This window comes from Homo sapiens, chromosome 14 (assembly GCF_000001405.40).
Source record: "Homo sapiens chromosome 14, GRCh38.p14 Primary Assembly".
Taxonomy (NCBI): domain Eukaryota; kingdom Metazoa; phylum Chordata; class Mammalia; order Primates; family Hominidae; genus Homo; species Homo sapiens.
In genome coordinates, this window is record NC_000014.9 from 20,607,394 (window position 1) to 20,627,995 (window position 20,602).

Genomic DNA, 20,602 nt, shown 5'->3' on the forward strand with positions numbered 1-20,602 from the left:
ATAGATTTAAGGGCACACGGACAAAACAGAAAGACCTGCTAAAGGGCTGCTGCAATAGGGCAGATGAGAAATGGTGATGGCTTCGACTACAGCAGTGGTGGTGGAGGTGGTAAGAAATGTTTGAAATCTGGAAATATTCTGATGATAGAGCCAACATCATTTGTTAAGGGATTGAACATGAGTTGTAAGAGAGAGGAATAAAGGATAATTCCAAGATTATTTGTTTCATAGTTCTTCTAAATATCTGAAGAAGTATCAGAAGTTAAATACTCAACAGTGTAGCTAGGAATGAAGTGAAAAATACCTGTGATTTCTAGTTCTTGTTCATCAGATGAGTCAGGACACATGTGGCTGAACTATAGGATGTAAACACTGAATACCCCGCTGGTAGCAGGGTAATAGAGATGAAGAGGGTGTTCTGAGGATCTAGCCGTTGCGTAGAAAGTGAAAGCCTCCCTCCCCGCAACACACGCAGCCACATACCCTTCTCAAATAAGCAGGGTGAACCACTAGGCTGTCTTTTCCCTCTTTGAGGGAAACACATGTTATGTTTGCACAAACCTCAGTAGGCAACCATCCCATAGCACAGTCCATTTCTGTGGCTTGGGAAAGTAAGGAGGATTGCAGAGGCAAAATAATGTGGCACACGGTTGTACCCAAAAGAAAACTTAACTAGGGAAGATCAAGTACCAGCTAGAAGGGGGTGATTCTGAGGAATGCAGAGTAGGACACAGGGTTCTTACGGAGTTACCCCGCCCTGCATGGTCTCCAGCTGTGTCTTGTAGAGGAACTTAGTAGCATATTAGCTCCCAGGGCAATTCCAGTGACATCTTGGGAGCTTTTTTTCTGAAAAATAACCACTCCTAGGCTGGGCATGGTGACTCTCAACTGTAATCCCAGCACTTTGGGAGACCAAGGCAGGTGGATCACCTGAGGTCAGGAGTTCGAGACCAGCCTGGCCAGAATGGTGAAACCCTGTCTTTACTAAAAATACAAAATATTAGCCAGGTGTGGTGGTGCAGGCCTATAATCCCTACTACTTGGGAGGCTGAGACAAGAGAATCTCTTGAACCCAGGAGGTGGAGGTTGCAGTGAGCCCAGATTGCACCACTGCACTCCAGCCTGGGCAACAAGAGTGAAACTCCATCAAAGAAAGAGAAAGAGAGAAAGAGAGAGAGAAAGAAAGAAAGAGAAAGAAAGAAAGAAAAGAGAAGAAAAGAAAAGAAAAGAAAAGAAAAGAAAAGAAAAGAAAAGAAAAGAAAAGAAAAGGGAAAGAAAGAAAGAAAATCATTCCTAGGGTCCCATCCTCAGAGATTGCAGTGTAATTGTTCTGGGGTTGGACCCAGCAGTGGATGGTCAAAAAGCTTCACAGGTGACTCTAATATGCAGATACGATTGCAAATCCCTGTTGAGAAGTTCATTCCCAAGGGGCTACACCAACGAGTTCCCCACCCCCATGCGCACACAGAAGGGTTCAGTGAGCTGAGGCTTGAATGACGGAGTCTAGGCTTTATTTGTGACAAGAACTTCGCGACATCTGCTGGCCCCTGCGCTTACAAAGTGAGGTTTATGTGAAACTATTAAAATATGACTGTCCTGAATGAACAATTCCTGGATAATAACAAAGAACTGCAAAAGTAAAAAGCTGGTTGATTTAAAATAATGATTATGTAAAAGAAATGTACATGATATGTGGTAGCACCTGGTATTTATCCTCATAATGTAATACCATGACAAAGAGCATTTTTGCCTAAAGATGAAATACATATATTTGAAATAATGGAGCATTACATAGTACTCACATACTAACTTCAGACGGTGCTTACTTTGTGTGATGGTGTTTAACGTGAATAAACCTGTGGTTTTATTGGGATGTCCACTGACAGAAAAATCTGTGACTTTATGGGGGCCAGCTAACTGGGAGAGAAAGAAAAAAGGAACAGGGCTCGTCCGGGATTTGAACCCGGGACCTCTCGCACCCTAAGCGAGAATCATACCCCTAGACCAACGAGCCACCTATGAATTTCGGTTGGGTTACTAAACTTTAATAAAACTTTCAGCCACGTCTACAGTTGGTCACTGTCTTCTTTTATAACTATGGGCATGGGTGACACCTAGTGGATAAAGTAAACCACTGCAGGTTTTCTCACCTAAATTCCGGAAGGCGGCGCCTTGTGACTGCAGATCCCTTTTAGGAAAAATGTTCAGGCGTCAGTGGGAATAATTTATGACATGAAATTGCATGTTATAACATGAAATTGCATGTTTTCACTTCCGAGTGAGCCGAAGATGCTGTTGGACAGGGAGCAGGCAAATCAGGGACCGTCCCGAGTTATCCGGTGGTCGGAAGGCATCTCGTCCTTAACAGGTACCGACCGCCGTGCGCGCGGCCGGCGAAAGCTGTCGCCGCAGGGCGCCCTCCGTGAAGAGACCCCGAGGCAGAAGAGGGCCCCGACGCTGCCCGGTGACCCGCCTTGCCTGGCACGGGGCTGGCGCTCCAAACCGTTAGACCTGACAAGGTTGCCCTCCCTCTCTCGCGACGCCTTTCACAACATGTATTATAACTCTTTCCACCAATTTCAAATAGTGCGGCTTAAAAGATGAAGGAGAGCTAAACAAACCAGAAAGAAAAGAAAGAAAAAATCCGGTAAAACTACAAATACAGGATCATGAAGTTGGCAGGCGGGGAGGGTAAAAGAGGAAAGGGTAGAGAATAGGTTCCCAACTGTTAGCCAGTAGGTAGCGTGGCCGAGCGGTCTAAGGCGCTGGATTAAGGCTCCAGTCTCTTCGGGGGCGTGGGTTCGAATCCCACCGCTGCCAGGTGCTTCCCTTTTCTTGGGGAAACCATCCGTGTATTCCGATTAGTGTACTGGTGCTCCCACGTTAACACAGTCTCTTCACCTTTCTCTAGCACCCAATTTCGTATCTCCAGTTGGTAAAGAATGTAGCTGTCCGCTATTTTGGAACGTCTCGTATTTCTGAGTCTTTCACAATGTGAAGTACTTCATAAAGACAGTAAAATCCTCTCAAGATCATAAAGATGCTTTTGAATCCATGGTTTCCCAAAGGAGGGAAAGCGCCAGGACATTAATATAATTCATGTGTAGCCTTTGCTTTGCCTTTAAGTGGACGAGCGTACTTTGAGCTCTTTGCCTTTAAGTAGACGAGCGTAATTTGCACTGTTCTAGTTGTTGAGGAGTACAAAAAGAGGAATAAAACAATGCCTGCCCACAAGAGAAACTCACGGTCTACACTGCAAAAATAAATCCTACAATTACAAAAAAAACGGTCTTGAAACATTGTAAAACATCATCGAGTAGAAAACAAACGCGGCATAAGGAAGGTAGTGCAGTGATGTGGGAAGGATGGTGAAGGGACCGTGGGCTGGGCTGTTAGAATGCAAGGGGTGGCAATTCTCACATTACTAATTGTGTGACTTGGGCAAGCTGCTTACCTTTTGTGTGCCTCTATTTCCTCATTTGTACATTGGAGATAATATATACCTGTATTATGAAAATTAGTGAATACGTGTAAGGTGCTTAGCGTATATTCTGCAGAGACAAGAAAGATCAATTTAGGTATCCATTTGCAACATAATTCCATAGCCATGGCTATTATCCCTGGGAAGATTCCAATCTGACTCTACAGAAACTGGAAATAAATTGCCCTTTAATTGTGGCATTTGGAGACCAGCAGGTGTGCCCAGAAGTGTGGTAATATTCGTCCATCCATTCATCTATTCATTATTAATTGCCAACTACAAATAGTACACATTGCTAAGTGCTGAGGGTACAAAATCGAGCACGACAAAACATCTGCCTTCCTGGAGCTTATATCCTAGTAGGGGAAACAGAAAAAAAGAAGGAAAGAACTGCATATAATAATATTAAGTCGTGATAAATGCTGTGAACAGCCATAAATTAGTGTAGGGTATAATGGCAATTGGAGGCTATTTTGGAAAGAGTGGTCAAGGAAGTTGTCTCTAAAGAGGTAACATTTGAGCACAGAAGGAGTGAGAGAGAGAGGGGGATACAAATATTTGAGAAAGTGAGATGTTCTAGACAAAGGAAACAGTACATGAAAAGTCCGGAACAAGAAACAAGGCACATGGATTTGAGGAACAGTGGGAGGGCCAGTATAGCTAGAAGACAGTGAGTGAGAAGGAGGAGGAGGGGGTAAGCAGTTGCGATCAGAGGGACAGACACCATCAGAACACACAAGGGCTCGATCACAGATTCTGTTCTAAATGTGAGAAGTTATTGGGTGCTTTTAAGTGGAGGAGAGCATTGTTTGGCTTACATTGTAATAGGATAACTCTGGCTGTTCTCTAGAATAGGGAGTAGAGAAAAAGTAGGAAGATGAGTTAGAAGGCTATCATTGGGATGTGTAAGAGATGAAGGAGAGTTTAGACCAGGGTGATAATGAGTGTGTTGGGAAATAGACGAAGATAGAACAGTGGATTGGATGTGATGTTGGAGAAACTGGATACATGATGGATTTGTTTCCTGAGATATGGGTGGTGGTTGGAGAGCAATTGGAAGAGAAGTGGCAGGAAATCAAGGGTATCATTTGAGACAAGTAAATTCTGAGATGCCTATAACTTGTTCACATGCTGGGGCAAGCAGGTGACTATATCTACAAATCTAGATCAAGGCTTATGAATAGGAATCATCAGTATACGATGCTATGTTAAGCCTCATGACTTGATAAGTATAGAGAGATAAAAAAAATTGGCAAGGGGAGAGCAAGATAACACTCAAATATTGAGAGGTCAGGAAAGGAGGAGCCATTAAAAGAGACTGAAAAGTAGCCTCCTGAGATGAGAAATGAAGTAGGACGAAGACTGAAAAGTGACCTTTAGATCTGGAAGCATCAAAGTCATTGGCAACCTTGACAAAAGCCATTTCAAGTAGCGTGGTGGAGAAAAAAGGCCTGATCATACTTGGTTGAGGACAGAGCATGAGGGGAGGAAGTTGAGATACACAGTGCATAACTTTTAAGAAGTTTTTTCTATCTATGCAGAATAAAGAGAATTGGGAAGAGTGGCTAAGAAGGAATTTTTTTAAAGGATTGGTGATACTGCAGCTGTTTAGTGTTTGTATGCTAATGGAAATGATTGGCACACTGGGGGAAATAGCTGCTGTGTGTGTTGTTAGGGGCTTGGGGGTGGAGGAGCGGAGGTAATGTTGATTTCAGAAACCAAGTCCTTACCCGAAGGAGAGGAAATGCGAAATTCATCTGATGTGAAACTGAAGGAGCTGCCCTCAAATATGAGAAGTGAAAGATGGGCCTTGAAACAAGACAGAAGACAGAGATGATGAGTGTCGATGTGGGTAAGTTAGTCCATCTGTTGCCAGGAAGGGATATAGTTCACTTCTAATGGAATCGTTTTATTCTGTAATAGTTATTCACACACTAAAGAAAGTTGCTAAGGATCCACAAAACATTATTTTTAAAGTTAACATTTCAAAATTTGCCTTTGGAGATACACTTTCTCTCATCACTCTATTGCTCCACTGGAGTTAACAGAATTCATTGCCTACCTCACAGTACAAAACAAACAAACACCAGAAAGGGTGGGGAAAAAGGAAAGAAAGGAAAAGGAGAAGAAAAGGCAATATTATGTAATAACATGTAAACCCCTTTTTAAAAGATAACACATCATACAGTTACACATGGTGACAATGTTAGTATGTGTCAGCTCCCAATTCATTCCCAGGAAAGAAAGCAGCTCCTTGTGTTTACCAAGGGCTAAAATTTCCGAGCAACTTTGCATAGACTGTTTTATTTGACTTGACAGGATTGCTAGAGATAGGCAGGGAGAGGAAGATGTGTTACAGTTTGTCAGAGAGAATAAGAAGGATAACCTGGGGTTTTCTGTGCTTTGCTTCTTCACATCCCTGGGGAGTTAATAGCTGCAATTTTTCAAAGAACGGTATACAGGGACAGCAAAGTGCAGTCGTGAAGTTTTCAAACAAGACACACCTTGTTGAGTTGAAAAGAGCGAGGGCTCGTCCGGGATTTGAACCCGGGACCTCTCGCACCCTAAGCGAGAATCATACCCCTAGACCAACGAGCCGCGATACAGATACTCTTAAGTTTTGCACTAAGGCTCATTCAAATCATTAGGCATTTTTCTGATAAACTAGGTTCTTGGGTGCCTTCTATCGGCAAGAATGCGTACTTATTTGAATAGTAGAGGTAAACCACACGCCCCAAGAGTCATTGAGACTGGCAGCTTCTGCAGCAGGCGTGAACCCCCGTAGCCTAAATGACAGCCGAAGAGGCGCCGAAGACATGCAGATGTGCCAAGCGGCAGTCACGTTGCTGCCGCGTTGTCCGACCCCGCTTACCTCCTGATGTGGAAATCCCTGTGGGTAGGAGGAAAAAACACACAGGCCCCAGCGAGAATTGAACTCGCGACCCCTGGTTTACAAGACCAGCGCTCTAACCCCTGAGCTATGGAGCCCTCGTCTGCTTTTAGTTTCTCTTCCTTTCATCTTATAGATTGATGTTATGCTCCTAGCATTCCGGCTACTGAATAGGATGTTAGCTTGAGTAAAATTCCAGGATATTCTCCTACAAAATGAAAACATTTTCGTGCTCTGTAAATCCCTCGAAAAGGTTCTGCTTTGAGCAGAGCAACTATCAGGCTGTCTTCCCGTTCCTCACCGTGATACTCTCTTGAGACTTTGCCTACTGTGCCTCTGTGGTGCATGGAAACGGTGTTGATGTAAGAATTTCAGATCTTTGGGTACAAGGGCGACCCCCCCCACACACACCTCCCGAAATATGAGGCGTCTATGGAGGGCGTCTGATGGACAAGGAAATTGTAGTGCTCGCCTTCCGCTTAATATGGTGGTAAAATCCAGGGACGGAGGTGAGAAGAGATTTTCCACGGCTTTTTCCTTTCTCAATCCAGATCCCTAAACCTCTAAACTTGGAGGAGTTTTCTGTGGTCAGAGGAAAGAAAGTTAACTCTTTCTGGAGTTAATCCCTCACTCTTCCAAGGTCCAGAGGTAGAAGCAAACAGGGAAAAGGGGTGTTGAGGAAGAAGAGTTTAATCCTTCCCTGAAGACATACACAGATTTACACATAGTTGGTATGAAAATAATACGACTTTTTAGAAAAGATTGTTTTTAATTTTTAGAAACCTTGTTTATATAAGCTGGTGAACAGAAACTAAACAATTATTTAACTAAGAAAGATCTCGTACCCATTTCTTACGGCAAATAAGCCGTAGGTGAGAACATTGGAAAATAAGCACTGATTCATGAAACACCAAGAAGTGACGCGACTCTGCTTAGTAAGATTTAGACCCTCTGACCACAGCTCTGCTCTTATACTCACTATTTTTTAGTGCTTTCATGTCCAAGATCACAAAATTTGTAAGAAATCTGTAAGGTTATTATGATTCATTGTCTCCTTTATTTTTCATTATTTAAACGTAAAACATGATGCTGTTGACCTTACACATTTTCAAGGAAGAAAAGTGCTCTATTTAGATAGGCAAAGTAAGGCATTTGTGGCAGATTTTCTTGGATTAGGGATGAGTCAGGAAGAGGCCTCACAATGTTGTCCTAAGGTGAGATGAATACATATATTTTGTAGCCTGACAAGGGCTGTTCCTTCTACTGCTCCTGGGTGTTTAACCCTCAGTCTTCTGCTCCCAAGAGAACTACAAGGCTTTGTTTTAACTGATTGAATTAAAAATTGAGTCTCTATACTCTATTTGCCTACACAAGACACTTCACTGGAGAAAACCTCTAACATGCTCTCTTTGGGCCTAAAGACACACCTCATAGCTTAAGGAAATGGCAGGTTGCCTACCTTTTTTTTTTTTTTACGTCAGGGGAACACAAGTACGCCTACCTTTTTTCTAGAGCAGAAAAGTCAAATTAAAATAAACTTTTGGTCATAGTTGATGTGTGACTGTTGGCATGTATAGACATAGAGTATGTAGTGCAGTGGTTAGAAAAAACCTAAATCGGTTATTTAACTTTGCCAGGTCTCAACGTCCCTGTTTTCAAAATAGGTGTTTATTATTATCATCATTGTTAGTATTATCTTCATTATTATTATTTTCAGAGAGACTGGCCATAGGCAAAATTACTAAGCAGTGGAAACTGTCTCTCAAACGGCCTTCTTCCTCTTTGCTGTTTCTCCTCCTCTCTTTGCTTGTCTTTCTCTGATGGTATTCATGATGGCCCCTCACCTTCTCTTAGAACCTGTCCCCTCATTCTCACCCTGTCACAATTTGGCAAGCTCACTTCTATTCCCTACATGAATTGATTTCTTCTCTTCTAACCACAGACTGTTATTCATTTAAGAATAATTTAAATTTGGGAGGCTGAGGCGGGCGGATCACGAGGTCAGGAGATTGAGACCATCCTGGCTAACACGGTGAAAACCCATCTGTACTAAAAATACAAAAAATTAGCGCATGGTGGCACGGGTCTGTAGTCCCAGCTACTCGGGAGGTTGGGGCGGGAGAATTGCTTGAACCCGGGAGGCGGAGGTTGCAGTGAGCCGAGATGGCGCCACTGCACTCCAGCCTGGGCGACAGAGCCAGACTCAGTCTAAAAATAATAATAATAATAATAATTTAAAATATTCAAAGAAGTATTCCAAGGAGAGAAGCCAGGGCAACAACCATGGATCTGATGTTTCTGGTTTCTGCTAGACAGAGGCTGGCTTTGCGGAGAGGGTTCTCACTCCTCTATCAGTACAAATAAACCTTTGACCAATTGACCCTATCCACATTCAGCCCACTTCCTACCATCAAAGGTTGTCCCAGGACCTTATGTTACATTCTCATTCTTCCAGGCCCTTACTCCACAATTCACTCGAGTTGGCGTGTCTGACGCTACGAAACTCCAAAAGCCCCTTCTACTAGTTTATTAGACTTAGCATCAGCAAACCTGGTTGTGCTCCAGTGTGTTCTGGCCCATCCTGAGCACTTCCTCTGCTGAGCAACTTGACCCCTAGTTGTAATCTTAGCAATATTTTTAATTGCTTTTTTTGTTGTTTGTCTGTATTTCTTCCATTTCCCCTCAACTTTTCATTTGGAAAAACTTTAATCCTAATGTGGAAATAAATGAACACCAGTTAATGAGAACCAGCAAAAGCTATTCAGAGCTTTCTATAGCAAAGGAGTTAGCAGCCTTCACTTGTGATTTTTTAAAAATATAATTTCCATATTATTTTTCTCTAGAGAGAGTTTTTCTTCAATCCTTAAGGACTCACCTTCTTATATGGGCTTTGGTAGGGGTCATGTGGCAGCACCCATAGGTCTGAATCAGGGTGGCGGTGTTCGGTCCTTGCAAGCTTCACAAGATTAATTCCTGTCTACCTTGCTGTGAATGACACAACTCCCACCGTAACAGAATTTCACGAACAACTTGGGAAGCCCATAGGCGTCAAAGATACTAGCTTCAGAAATGTCCCTGACAGGTGCAGTCTCTACTACGTTTTGAATGATGAACTTCTTAATAGTCTTGCCTTTGGGTAGGCATAGGGCATAATTCATGTAGCAAATAGGCTGCACGTGGCTGTGGCCCTTTTTGGCATGACCATTGTTATTTCTTTTCTTTGCCATCTTGGAAGTGGGGACCCAAAAGAACGTCACTTGTGATTTGGCAGAGACTCAAAGGCAAGCAGAGGAGTGGGAAAACTTTATAGTGGACAAAGGGAAGCCTTCAAGTGTGCCCTGACTGGAGACTGTGGCATGGGGACACGGTGGGCAGGCTAACTAGAAGCGGGGCATCCTATGTGATTGGTTAGGGATGCATATTTGGCTTTCTCTGGTTGATGCTAACTTGGAAACAGAAACAAATAATAGGAAAGGTGTTAATTATTCATAAATTCCTAGCCACTGGGTCTGGTTTTTACAGAGGTTATTGTTTGGCTTCCTGGGCTGGTTGCTTAGAGATAGTGGTCTGACTTCCTAAAAGTCTGGCTTAAAGGCAATGGACTGGCCGGGCGCTGTGGTTCACGCCTGTAATCCCAGCACTCTGGGAGGCTGAGGCAGGCGGATCACCTGAGGGTCAGGAGTTCGAGACCAGCGTGACCAAAATGGTGAAACCCTGTCTCTACTAAAAATACAAAATTAGCCTGGCGTGGTGGTGCATACCTGTAATCCCAGCTACTCAGGAGGCTGAGGCAAGAGGATTGCTTGAACCCAGGAGGCAGAGATAGCCAGTGATAGGCGGTGAGCCAAGATAGTGCCATTGCACTCCAGCCTGGGCAACAAGAGTGAAAATCCGTCTCAAAAAAATAAATAAATAAAAGAGAGAGAGAGATAATGGGCTGGCTTCCTGTGCTGGTCACTGTGGGTTGACTTCCTGCACTGGCTGTTGTAGGTTAGTGCTGGTCAGAGGTCTATTTTTATATATGTTCTGGCCACTGTCTGTTTGTATAGTAATACCCTAGGGAAAAGTTAAAAAAACGGTACGGTAAAACCTGTATACCCTTTAACTAGAACACCCATTATTAGGAACATTTGCATCCTTCTTACCTACCCTTCCCCCTGTTTACATGTACTATCCAAGAGCAGAATATTAGTACCATAACACACCCAAGAAAATTTATAATTCCTTATATGCTAGTAGACATACAGTCCATATTCAGATTTCCCCACTTACCCACTCCCTATTAAAATAATGTAAATTCTAACAATATATCTCACTGCATTTAGTTGTAACATCTCTTTGGTCTCTTTTAATCTAGAAAATTCCCCTCCTCTTAGACTTTCTTTTCTCATGGCAGTTGTCTTACAGGAAGTCTCACATTCTGAATGTGATTATTTCCTCATATAAGATTCAGTTCAATATTTACTTATTTCCTCATGATTAGATTCAGCTTAAATATTTTTGTCAAGGACCCTACTACTAATTTTCCAGGATAGATTGTCTAGGGTCTAGGTAGGACTGAATTTCTAGTAAACCAAGCAGGAAGAATGAAGTCTAATGACTGATACTTATTTACATGACAGTGCACTATTTCAAGGAGCTTCTGTTCAGAAAAGGAAACTATTATGTCATCCTTTGGGGAAGACTTTGTAATTTTCAGCTTCATTGGCTATAGAATATTTTTAAAGGTCAGGAATTTATATCCCAGAAAAGTAGGCACAATTACCAGGACTCAACCAATTATTCACTGTAACAACATCCACGAACACCTATGACAGGCATACTGGTTTCCAAGATACATAGACTGTTTATCTCAGACATCAAGGAACGTGAGTTTGCAAAGCTTTAGCCACACACACACACACACACACACACACACACGTACTTGCCTCGATTTGTACTTTCTCAAAGTTTTCTTCAGATTTCCACAGACATCTTACCTTCTGGAAACTGAGGCTACACTCACTCTGGTGATTATCAGTTACCACTTGTATTGCCATCTAACTGTAGTGTGTGTCTCTGTGTGTTTGTTCATTCTTCTAGGTTTGTATTGTATATATTGTAAAAGGTGGAGAAGATATTTTCTTTTATTCAAATTCAAGTTCCCAATGAGCAAGGATAATATTCTTGTTTGTCTTCTGCTCCTCCCCAAACCTGATCAAATGATAAGCACAGATTTATTTGGTGGATGTGAAGTGGGCAAGATTCTATTTCCGAGACCCAAAAGGCTTCCTGGCACATGCACCCCACTGGCTTGCCTCAAATGTTTAAACCCATTATAAACACTCCTGTGTGTTCACTGAGAAGCTGACTGTGTTTTGAGCACTTGGTACACTATGGAATTAAAGTCAGGGACTAGGAAAAGCAGTAGAGGGAAATCAAAGAAGAAATTAAATTGTACATCAGACACGATCTTTTTAAACCCAAAGCACCAAGACTATTACAATATTTATGGGGACTGAGTAGGTGAAGGAGGACAATGATACCAGAAGGATGGACAGAAACAAAGAATAAAAAATGCCTCATATCCTTCCCCTTTCCATTCCTGTTGATCATACCATAGTTCAAAGATTGCATTTCTTTTCACCTGAAGCTTGCAGAGGTGATTGATTTCACTGGATTACTCCATGAAATCCCTCTGGTCCCATCTCTCCAATGAAGTTCAGTGAAAAGTGTAAAGACAAATACAAACTAGAAATAAGGGGCTTAAATCTCCCTGCTGAGTATAAGGAAATTTCCCTTCCCTCTTTTTACTTTGAGCATTTACTTTTGAAAACTTTTTTTTTTTTTTGAGACAGTCTTGCTCTGTCGCCCAGGCTGGAGTGCGGTGGTGTGATCTCAGCTCACTGCAACCTCTGCCTCGCGGGTTCAAGCGATTCTCCTGCCTCAGCCTCCCAAGTAGCTGGGATTACAGGTGTGTGCCACCACGCCTGGCTAAATTTTTTTGTATTTTTAGTAGAGACAGGTTTCACCATGTTGGTCAGGCTGGTCTCGAACTCCTGACCTCATGATTCGCCCTCCTCAGCCTCCCAAAGCGCTGGGATTACAGGCGTGAGCCACTGCATAGAAAACTTCTAAGTACAATCACAGTACTTTGCTTTACTGTGATGGTCAATGTGATAACCATATGAAACCATATCAGAGCTAAGTAAGTCGGGTTCAATAAATGCTGAAAGCATTGACTATCTGATGGAGTCATCAAAAATATTATTTAATTTAAATATAGTATTTAATTTTGAGCAAGATTTTACAGCACATAGAGGGGTCCTCAGGCCAATAGGGGGATGGCTTTTTTTTTTTTTTTTTTTTTTGAGACAGAGTTTCACTCTTATTGTCCAAGCTGGAGTGCAATGGCACGATCTCAGCTCACCACAACCTCCGCCTCCCAGGTTCAAGCAATGCTCCTGCCTCAGCCTCCCAAGTAGCTGAGATTACAGGCGCACAACACCACGCCCGGCTAATTTTTGTATGTTTAGTAGAGACGGGGTTTCACCATGTTGGTTAGGCTGGTCTTGAACTCCTGACCTCGTGATCCGCCCGCCTAGGCCTCCCAAAGTGCTGGGATTACAGGCATGAGCCACCATGCCCAGACTGGGGCATGGCTCTCTATTGGAGCTAGGAACAGAGCTTTACATTGCAATGTAGTGCGTGTCTTCTGCTGCAGACTGATCCAGAAAGATTCTGGTGGGAATTTTCAGATGCTCTAAATGAACATAGAACATCTGATACAGAAGTTGGTACATAGAGTATTTCTCAAAATTTAATGCATACTCTAACTTTTGGGGAGTTTGTTAAGATTCTGATTCAGTAGGCCTGAGATTCTGCATTTCTAATCTGCTACCAAAAGATGCTGATGCTGCTGGTCCCCAATCACACTTTGCATATTAAGGCCTTAAAGTAAATCTCTTGCTTATCTATAAATTTTCATCATCTGAACTATTAACAAGGTATGGATAGCAAGAAATTCAAGGTTAAACTCTCCGACAATATTACAGAATGCTAGAGCCTAGAATATCAGCATTCTGTGCTGAAGACTGAAGGAATAGACATGTGCCAGCCAGACGAACACATTGCATGTATTTGTATCAGGCATCTTTCCAAAAGGGTGGTTATCTATTTGCTTTAGATATTGGGCAATCAAGTATGCAGCAAATTTGGCATTCTACTAGGAAAGCCAAGACACCTGGCTTATGGGTCTCAGGGCACTTACTGTTTGAGCTGTGCAATCCAACATGTGATCCACTTCTTGAAAGGAACAGGCCAAGTTTCCTCCCTCCCTACTGAAGGATCCTGTGAGCACAAGGTGGGAAATAGGTACTCCAGCAACACTGAATAGGAAATTGAATAGGAGAAGCTATGCCCACTTGTTAGCAAAGGAACTTCAGCCAGGAACAGGAGAGTGTGGTACTTTCTTGATAAGAAAGTGCTCTGACGCCTGTCAGTTTGAGGAATTTGAACCTGCAGCATTCCAGGATCAAAGAGGGCTCTGCTGTGATGATAGGTTCTTTCCTGTTGACTGCTTCCTTTTATTGCCTGATCTGGCACTAAAACAGATCAAAATGAGCTCAGGCCACTTCCATCACTTGAGAATCTTCATATTTAAAAAAAAAAAGTCAACACATAGAGAAACTATGGGTTATTTAAATGAGTATTATGATTTTTTTTGTTTATTTGTTTTTGTTTTTGTTTTTAAATGGAATCTCTGTTGCCCAGGCTGGAGTGCAGTGGTGCGATCTCGGCTCACTGCAACCTCCATCTCCTGGGTTCAAGCGATTCTCCTGCCTCAGCCTCCTGAGTAGCTGGGATTACAGGCACATGCCACCATGCCCGGCTAATTTTTGTATTTTTAGTAGAGACGGGGTTTTGACATGTTGTCCAGGCTGGTCTCGAATTCCTGACCTCAAGCAATGTGCCTGCTTCAGTCTCCCAAAATGCCGAGATTACAGGCGTGAGCCACCACACCTGGCCAAATGAGTATTGTCTTCGTTCGTTTTGTGTTGCTGTAATAGAATACATGAGGCTGAGTAATTTAGAAAGAAAGAGGTTTATTTAGCTCACAGTTCTGCAGCCTGGGAAGTAGGAGAAGCATGTTACCAGCATCAGCCAGGCTTCTGGGGAGGGCCACTACACTAGGTCAAAACAAGGCAGAGAAGGTCAAAGGGGAAGCAGACACATACAAAGAGAAAAAAAGAAAAAAAAAAGTGAGGGCCTCTTGGCTGTATAACAACCCACTCTCCCAGGGAACTAATCCATTCCCAAAGGAAGTAATCCAATCTCACCAGAGCCAGAACTCACACACTACAGAGAGAAGGGCACCAAGACATTCATAAGGAATTTACTACTGTGATCCAAACACCTCCCACTAGGCCCCATCTCCCAACACTGACACATTGGAAATCAAATTTCGACATGAGTTCTAGTGGGGACAAATTAACCATATTCAAACCATAGCAGGTATGTTTATCAGACTAGCACTGAAACACAGAGACATAAATGTGACTGTAAAATCTCATCTGGAGAGCTCATCAAAAGTTTCAATATGAGACCCATTCATGTGCCCTAAGTCTCTTATTGGCTCAATTCTAGGTATAATAGCTCAACAGATATTTTAAATATTTGTTATCTCCCCTCCCATTCACCCTGCACAGCTCTTTCAAGTCGTAAAGAGCCCCAGGATCTTTCTTTTTTTCTTTCAAGCTGATGCTTCCCCGGCCTGCACACTGAGATGGTGGCACAGGATTCCTAGGATTCTCTCCAGCTTAAGAAGAACATTAGTCTTTCCACTTCTGACCCTGGCAAAGACTTGCGTGTACTGATGGAGGCAGTAAGCTCACACTCCTTTTCCCCTAAGGCTTCCTCCAAAGCTTGAAAACACAACGTGAAATTTCTTAGTAGTCATACATTCAGCCAAAGGGGCTGGCGACGGGTATTTTAATCTCTCCGTCTTAAGTGATGCGTAGGAGGCCATATCTTTGACCATCCTGCTGGATTCAAAACCTACGAGATGCTGCCTGCTGGCCTTGGGTGCTGACTTCCTCCTTCTAGGGAGAAAGAGACCTGGTCAGGGCCAACGGTGGGTACCCAGTGAGCTTAGATTGCCGGTGAGCTGGAGGTTGGTGAGGAGGGTGCTGGCGCCAGAGGGTGACGAGGCGTGAAGAGGGGGATGTAACACGGGGTGAGTTTGGGAGGCACCGCGGGGAGCCCGGACTAGAGTTGCGGGGGGGCGCGGGAGGAGAGCCTGCCTCCGACCTCCGAACGTCCCTGCCCTTTCCTATGCCGCCCCCGCTTCCCTGCCTGGGTTCTACGTTTATGCGGTGCTCCCTGAGCCCTATTTTAAAGCTGCTTTTTAAGAACTTCCTTTCTGCTCGCCTCCCCCAACTCCTGGCAGCGGTGACCGTGAACTCGCAGGACCTTCGCCCCCGCGGAGACCCAGGGAAGAACGCTTTTTTCCTCTCTATTCGCCCTCAACCTGACCCGCTGGGCCACCAGGGCTTGGGGAGAGACCTCAGAGGCCTAGAGCCAGGAGAGGCGAGAAAGGGTTGTGGTTTTTTTGAGTGATTGAGATGGGGGACAGAGAGAGCACTTAAAATTAGGCAACTTTAATTAGGCTCCCAGGAGAATTTCTGGATCCACAGACCAAGAAAACAGCCAAGTGGGAACAGCAGCAAAGAATATAAATAATACATAATCCAGGGCTTTGCGCCGAGTGGGGTTGTTCGCAGGTCAGTGATTCCCACTTTGGGTGCGGGAGACCCCAAGTATCACCTCTGAAACCGTTTTCTAGCTTTCCCTCTGCTCCTTTAGAAAGAAATGTTACAACACATGAAATAGATGCAGAAAAGGCTTTCTGTAAAATTCAACATCCCTTCATGTTAAAAACCCTCAATAATCTAAGTTTTAAAGGAACATACCTCAAAATAATAAAAGCCATGTGTGACAAACCCACAACCAACATCATACTGAATGGGCAAAAGCTGGAAGCATTCCCCTTGAAAACCGGCACGAAACACGGATGCCCTCTCTCACCACACGTATTAACATAGTATTGGAAGTTCTGACCAGGGCAATAAAGCAAGAGAAAGAAATACAGGGCATTCAAATAGGAAGAGAGGAAGTCAAACTCTTCCTGTTTGCAGATGACATGATCCTGTATCGAGAAAACCGCCTCATCTCAGCCCAAAAGCTTAAGAAAGCTGACAAGCTGCCGGGTGGGGCGGCTCACGCCTGTAATCCCAGCACTTTGTGGGGCTGAGGCGGGTGGATCACCTGAGATCAGCAGTTCGAGACCAGCCTGGCCAACATGGTGAAAACCCATATCTATTAAAAATACAAAAAATTAGCCGGGCGGGCGTGGTGGTGGACGCCTGTATTCCCAGCTATTCAGGAGGCTGAGGCAGGAGAATCGCTTGAACCCTGGAGGCGGAGGTTGCAGTGAGTCGAGATGGCACCACTGCCATGGGTGTTGCCTATCCAGCCTGGGCGACAGAGACGCCGTCAAAAAACAAAACAAAACAAACAAACAAACAAAAAACAGCAGGCAAGTAGAGAGCCAAATTAGGAATGAACTCCCATTCACAATTGCTTCAAAGGGAATAAAATACCTAGCAATACAGCTAACAAGGGAAGTGAAGGACCACTTCAAAGAGAACTACAAACCACTGTTCAAGGAAATCAGAAAGGACACAAACAAACGGAAAACAGTCCATGTTCATGGATAGGAAGAATCAACATCATGAAAATAGCCATACTGCCGAAAGGGAGGGAGAGAGACAGAGAGAGAGAGAGAGGAAAGAGGGAAGGAAGGAGAGAAAGAAAGAAAAGAGAGAGAGAGAGAAAGGAAAGAAAGAAAAGAAAAGAAAAGAAAAAAAGAAAAGAAAAGAAAAAGAATGAGCAGCACCAGGGCTCCAGGGAAGCCCGGGACCACCCTTTCTGCGCTGGGGATGCCCTTGGAATGTGACCTCCCTCTGGGGAGCCGTGCTACTGCCATGGGCGTAGGCGTCGGTCTACCCGAGCGTGCAGAGCGGCCTTCTTCCTCAACAAGAAACCCGGCAATTGCCCAACCCAACCTCTCCTTGCTCAAACTGCAGGAGGGAGCGGCCATCGAGTTTCCTTTGAACGCGGTGACAGGCTTACAGGTCTGTGAACGAAAGGGCGCCTAATAAGTGACGTGAACTTCGACCCCATGGCACTCTAAGCAATATTTGTACCCACAGAACCACGATCCAACAGCAAGGAGTTCTTATTCTTCAGTCTTCTCGAATAACTTTCAAATCACCAGTAGGATTTTTAAAGTCTCCGTGTTTTATTGCCTAGGTTAAAGAAAAGATAAAGGTCTTCCAAAGACATTGACGCTAATAATCTTCCATTACCTGCTAGCCCACTTCCCAGGGCGAGTGAGAATTCAGTAATTCCTCCTCTCCTTGAGTTTGCTTAGATCCCTAAGGATGAATGAAAATGCTATCCGGAACCCTGCTTCCGCGAAGAAAATTCAGAATTTTGCACTTGTACGCTGGGGCAAAATGCTGACAGAATGAAGAAGGTAATTGCAAACTCCTATAACGTGTGTGGTAGTGTGGCCGAGCGGTCTAAGGCGCTGGATTTAGGCTCCAGTCTCTTCGGGGGCGTGGGTTCGAATCCCACCACTGCCAGTGGTACGTTTTAGCACAACAAGGATCCTGAAGTACTAACACTTTCTAACTAGTAAAATAATTAAATCTTCCTTTCCCAGGATTCTCCCGGATTACACAGCATCAGTTCCTCTGAATTCTGCATTCGTAATTAAAATCCTGATTTCCAATTGGCATTTCTTTCGGTTAGGCAGGGAGGCCTTCTCGCTCGCGGTCTCCTACTTTATCCGTTGTACTGACTCTCTGGACCCCAGTTTTTGCACTGCACCATTTGGGTTCCCGCAATCAGGAAAGCTCAGTTCTCATCTAAAATACACGCTCACATTGAATCATTGTCATTACCTAGTTTAAGCATAAGGTGGTCAGGAAGTTTTTGCAGAAACTTTCCCATTGGTCCCATCAGCCCGCGGCCGGCACTGCTTTAGGAGTTGCAGCTCTGTGCTCGCGAAATATCCTGCCTAGACCCTGTTTTGGTTCTAATCACGTTACTTTTGTAATTGAACATGATGGATGGATGCATGGACAGATGGACGGACGGATGGATGCAGAAAGCAAAAACTCAGCGGCCGGGCGCAGTGGCTCACGCCTGTAATCCCAGCACTTTGGGAGGCCGAGGCGGGCGGATCAAGAGGTCAGGAGATCGAGACCATTCTGACCAACATGGTGAAACCCCGTCCTTAGTAAAAAAAAAAAATACCAAAGCCGGGGGTGGTGGCGCGGACGGACCTGTACTCCCAGCTACTCGGGAGGCTGAGGCAGGGGAATCGCTTGAACCCGGGAGGCGGAGGTTGCAGTGAGCCAAGATCGCGCCACTGCACCCTAGTCCTGGCGACAGAGTAAGACTCCGTCTAAAAAATAAACTCAGCAAGGTTCATGTTCTCATTCAGGCATCGTTACCTCATGGGGAATGGGGAGAAGACAAGTAAACAGTTATTTTGAGTTGGTGATTCAAAAACACTTCAAAGCGGATTCTTGACTAACTCCATTCATTGGGCCCAGGGGGCGTCTGTAAACGTGGGTTTAGTCACCCTCCTGCCCCTTCCCAGTGAATCAGGTCACGGTGGTGGCGACTGTTCAGGTTTCTGAACTACCCAGCTACAATATTCGCGTAGAAACTAACCCACTGTGGAAAATCAGAGGGGGTACACTCAGGGCCTATTTAGTGGTATCGTCTCAGAATGGTTGTCCTACTGCGTTTTTCAGCCACTACAGCCCGTCACCTACAGAAGTGCTCATGGATTTGGCCGGACAGTTTCCTCGGGGAGAGATTTCACTGCCGTGACATGAGGAATGAAAGAAAGAAACTGAGCAGAGAACTGCGACTCTGTGCAAGAACCAAGTGTCATGCCACCCAGGCTGGAGTGCAGTGGTGCGATCACTACTCATTGCAGCCTCCATCTCCCGGGCTCAAGCGATCCTCCCGCCTGTCTCCCAAGGAGCTGGGATCACACTTCTGCACTATCACGCCCACGCCCGGCTGTTTGCTTGTTTGTTTGTTTGTTTGTTTGTTTTGGTAGAGCCGAAGGGTTGGGAGGGAGTGGGGAGGGGCGGGGGAGCTGATAATGGTCTGTCTATGTCGCCCAGGGTGATCTGGAACTCCTGGGCACCCAGCCTCATGCCACTTTTTGACTCTGCCCTCCTTTTTATATCTTCCTCCCTCCTCATTCAAAATCCTCTTTCGGGCACTCCCATAACATCTTCCATTTCACTTTGATGACTCCTCCAGACCAGTCCCCTTCCTTTTCACATACCTATCACCAAGAAATATCTTGGGCCCGCAAGATCTTCACAAAAGAAGCCTTTTGTTTTGTTTCTCTCGGAAATCGAGAGACAAGGCATGTTTTGCTCCCAGTGCCTAGTTGGGGGAAAATATCTCTATATCTGTGGATAAATTGGACCTTCCTGGCACTTTTATAAAATTCCCTGTTTGCATAATTTCCATATCATTGTTCTTCCTTTTTCCACAAGGCAATTGTTCTGTCTTCCAATTCTGTTTTATGAAAATAAATCAAATTTAAAAGTTGTTGGAACCCCCCCACCCACCCACCGCCACAATGCTCTAAGCCTTCAGAGAGATGTGAATGCCGTCTGAGTCACATATGGTTACAACTTCTGTTCTCAGATCATAGATTAATGTACTTTCTTATTTTTCTTGTTCTGTGTGTACCAGAGAGAATTAAACGACATCAAGAACAAAAACCTACAGTCTTCTTAATTAATGACCCTCGTTACAGATGAATTTCCCTTGTCTTGTCCTGCTTTGTTTGCTTAGACCAGATAACAGAAAACCCATGATTATTATGCCCTCTGCAAAAAATGTTAAATGCACCCTTGCCAAAAAGAAACACTGCCTGTAACCAATCAAATGGCTGTAACTATGTGCCAACCTTGTATGAACTGTGTATGAATAATGAATAATGTTGTAATCCTGCTAAAAACTCCTCTGTCTCTGCCTATACAAATGAAACCTCAACTTTCCTACTTCGGAATGCTGACCCTATTCCTTTGGAGCTGGTTTTTCCATGTGGCTCATCCTCACAGTTTTGGCTTGAGTAAACTCTCTTT

The 20,602-nt window shown here is 44.2% G+C and overlaps 1 long non-coding RNA gene, 5 other non-coding genes and 1 pseudogene across 6 annotated transcripts, besides 8 other annotated features; 3 read left to right on the forward strand and 4 right to left on the reverse strand.

The window, feature by feature from the left end:
• On the reverse strand, window positions 1,943–2,014 carry TRP-AGG2-5 (tRNA-Pro (anticodon AGG) 2-5). Its single transcript has one exon. It is a non-coding gene; the product is annotated as a tRNA-Pro (tRNA).
• Window positions 1,948–2,117: a silencer, noted in NCBI's record as "silent region_5567". NCBI's record gives its function as "represses an Ori minimal core promoter by ATAC-STARR-seq in GM12878 lymphoblastoid cells {active_cell/tissue: GM12878}" and the evidence as "EXISTENCE:reporter gene assay evidence [ECO:0000049][PMID:35858748]".
• LOC124903280 (uncharacterized) lies at window positions 2,421–3,234 on the forward strand. Its single transcript, XR_007064058.1, has 2 exons — window positions 2,421–2,647; window positions 2,912–3,234. It is a non-coding gene; the product is annotated as an uncharacterized LOC124903280 (long non-coding RNA).
• Window positions 2,708–2,937: a silencer, noted in NCBI's record as "silent region_5568". NCBI's record gives its function as "represses an Ori minimal core promoter by ATAC-STARR-seq in GM12878 lymphoblastoid cells {active_cell/tissue: GM12878}" and the evidence as "EXISTENCE:reporter gene assay evidence [ECO:0000049][PMID:35858748]".
• TRL-AAG2-3 (tRNA-Leu (anticodon AAG) 2-3) lies at window positions 2,739–2,820 on the forward strand. The gene has a single exon. It is a non-coding gene; the product is annotated as a tRNA-Leu (tRNA).
• Window positions 5,166–5,225: an enhancer, noted in NCBI's record as "active region_8081". NCBI's record gives its function as "activates an Ori minimal core promoter by ATAC-STARR-seq in GM12878 lymphoblastoid cells {active_cell/tissue: GM12878}" and the evidence as "EXISTENCE:reporter gene assay evidence [ECO:0000049][PMID:35858748]".
• Window positions 5,956–6,145: a silencer, noted in NCBI's record as "silent region_5569". NCBI's record gives its function as "represses an Ori minimal core promoter by ATAC-STARR-seq in GM12878 lymphoblastoid cells {active_cell/tissue: GM12878}" and the evidence as "EXISTENCE:reporter gene assay evidence [ECO:0000049][PMID:35858748]".
• Window positions 6,008–6,079, reverse strand: TRP-AGG2-6 (tRNA-Pro (anticodon AGG) 2-6). The gene has a single exon. It is a non-coding gene; the product is annotated as a tRNA-Pro (tRNA).
• On the reverse strand, window positions 6,397–6,469 carry TRT-TGT3-1 (tRNA-Thr (anticodon TGT) 3-1). Its single transcript has one exon. It is a non-coding gene; the product is annotated as a tRNA-Thr (tRNA).
• On the reverse strand, window positions 9,251–9,598 carry RPS26P9 (ribosomal protein S26 pseudogene 9; annotated as a pseudogene).
• Window positions 15,885–16,024: an enhancer, noted in NCBI's record as "active region_8082". NCBI's record gives its function as "activates an Ori minimal core promoter by ATAC-STARR-seq in GM12878 lymphoblastoid cells {active_cell/tissue: GM12878}" and the evidence as "EXISTENCE:reporter gene assay evidence [ECO:0000049][PMID:35858748]".
• Window positions 17,774–18,516: an enhancer, noted in NCBI's record as "NANOG-H3K4me1 hESC enhancer chr14:21093326-21094068 (GRCh37/hg19 assembly coordinates)". NCBI's record gives its function as "activates a minimal SCP1, AML or CMV promoter by ChIP-STARR-seq in naive H9 embryonic stem cells {active_cell/tissue: H9 hESC(naive)}" and the evidence as "EXISTENCE:reporter gene assay evidence [ECO:0000049][PMID:30033119]".
• On the forward strand, window positions 17,977–18,058 carry TRL-TAG2-1 (tRNA-Leu (anticodon TAG) 2-1). The gene has a single exon. It is a non-coding gene; the product is annotated as a tRNA-Leu (tRNA).
• Window positions 18,007–18,076: a silencer, noted in NCBI's record as "silent region_5570". NCBI's record gives its function as "represses an Ori minimal core promoter by ATAC-STARR-seq in GM12878 lymphoblastoid cells {active_cell/tissue: GM12878}" and the evidence as "EXISTENCE:reporter gene assay evidence [ECO:0000049][PMID:35858748]".
• Window positions 18,517–19,257: an enhancer, noted in NCBI's record as "H3K4me1 hESC enhancer chr14:21094069-21094809 (GRCh37/hg19 assembly coordinates)". NCBI's record gives its function as "activates a minimal SCP1, AML or CMV promoter by ChIP-STARR-seq in naive H9 embryonic stem cells {active_cell/tissue: H9 hESC(naive)}" and the evidence as "EXISTENCE:reporter gene assay evidence [ECO:0000049][PMID:30033119]".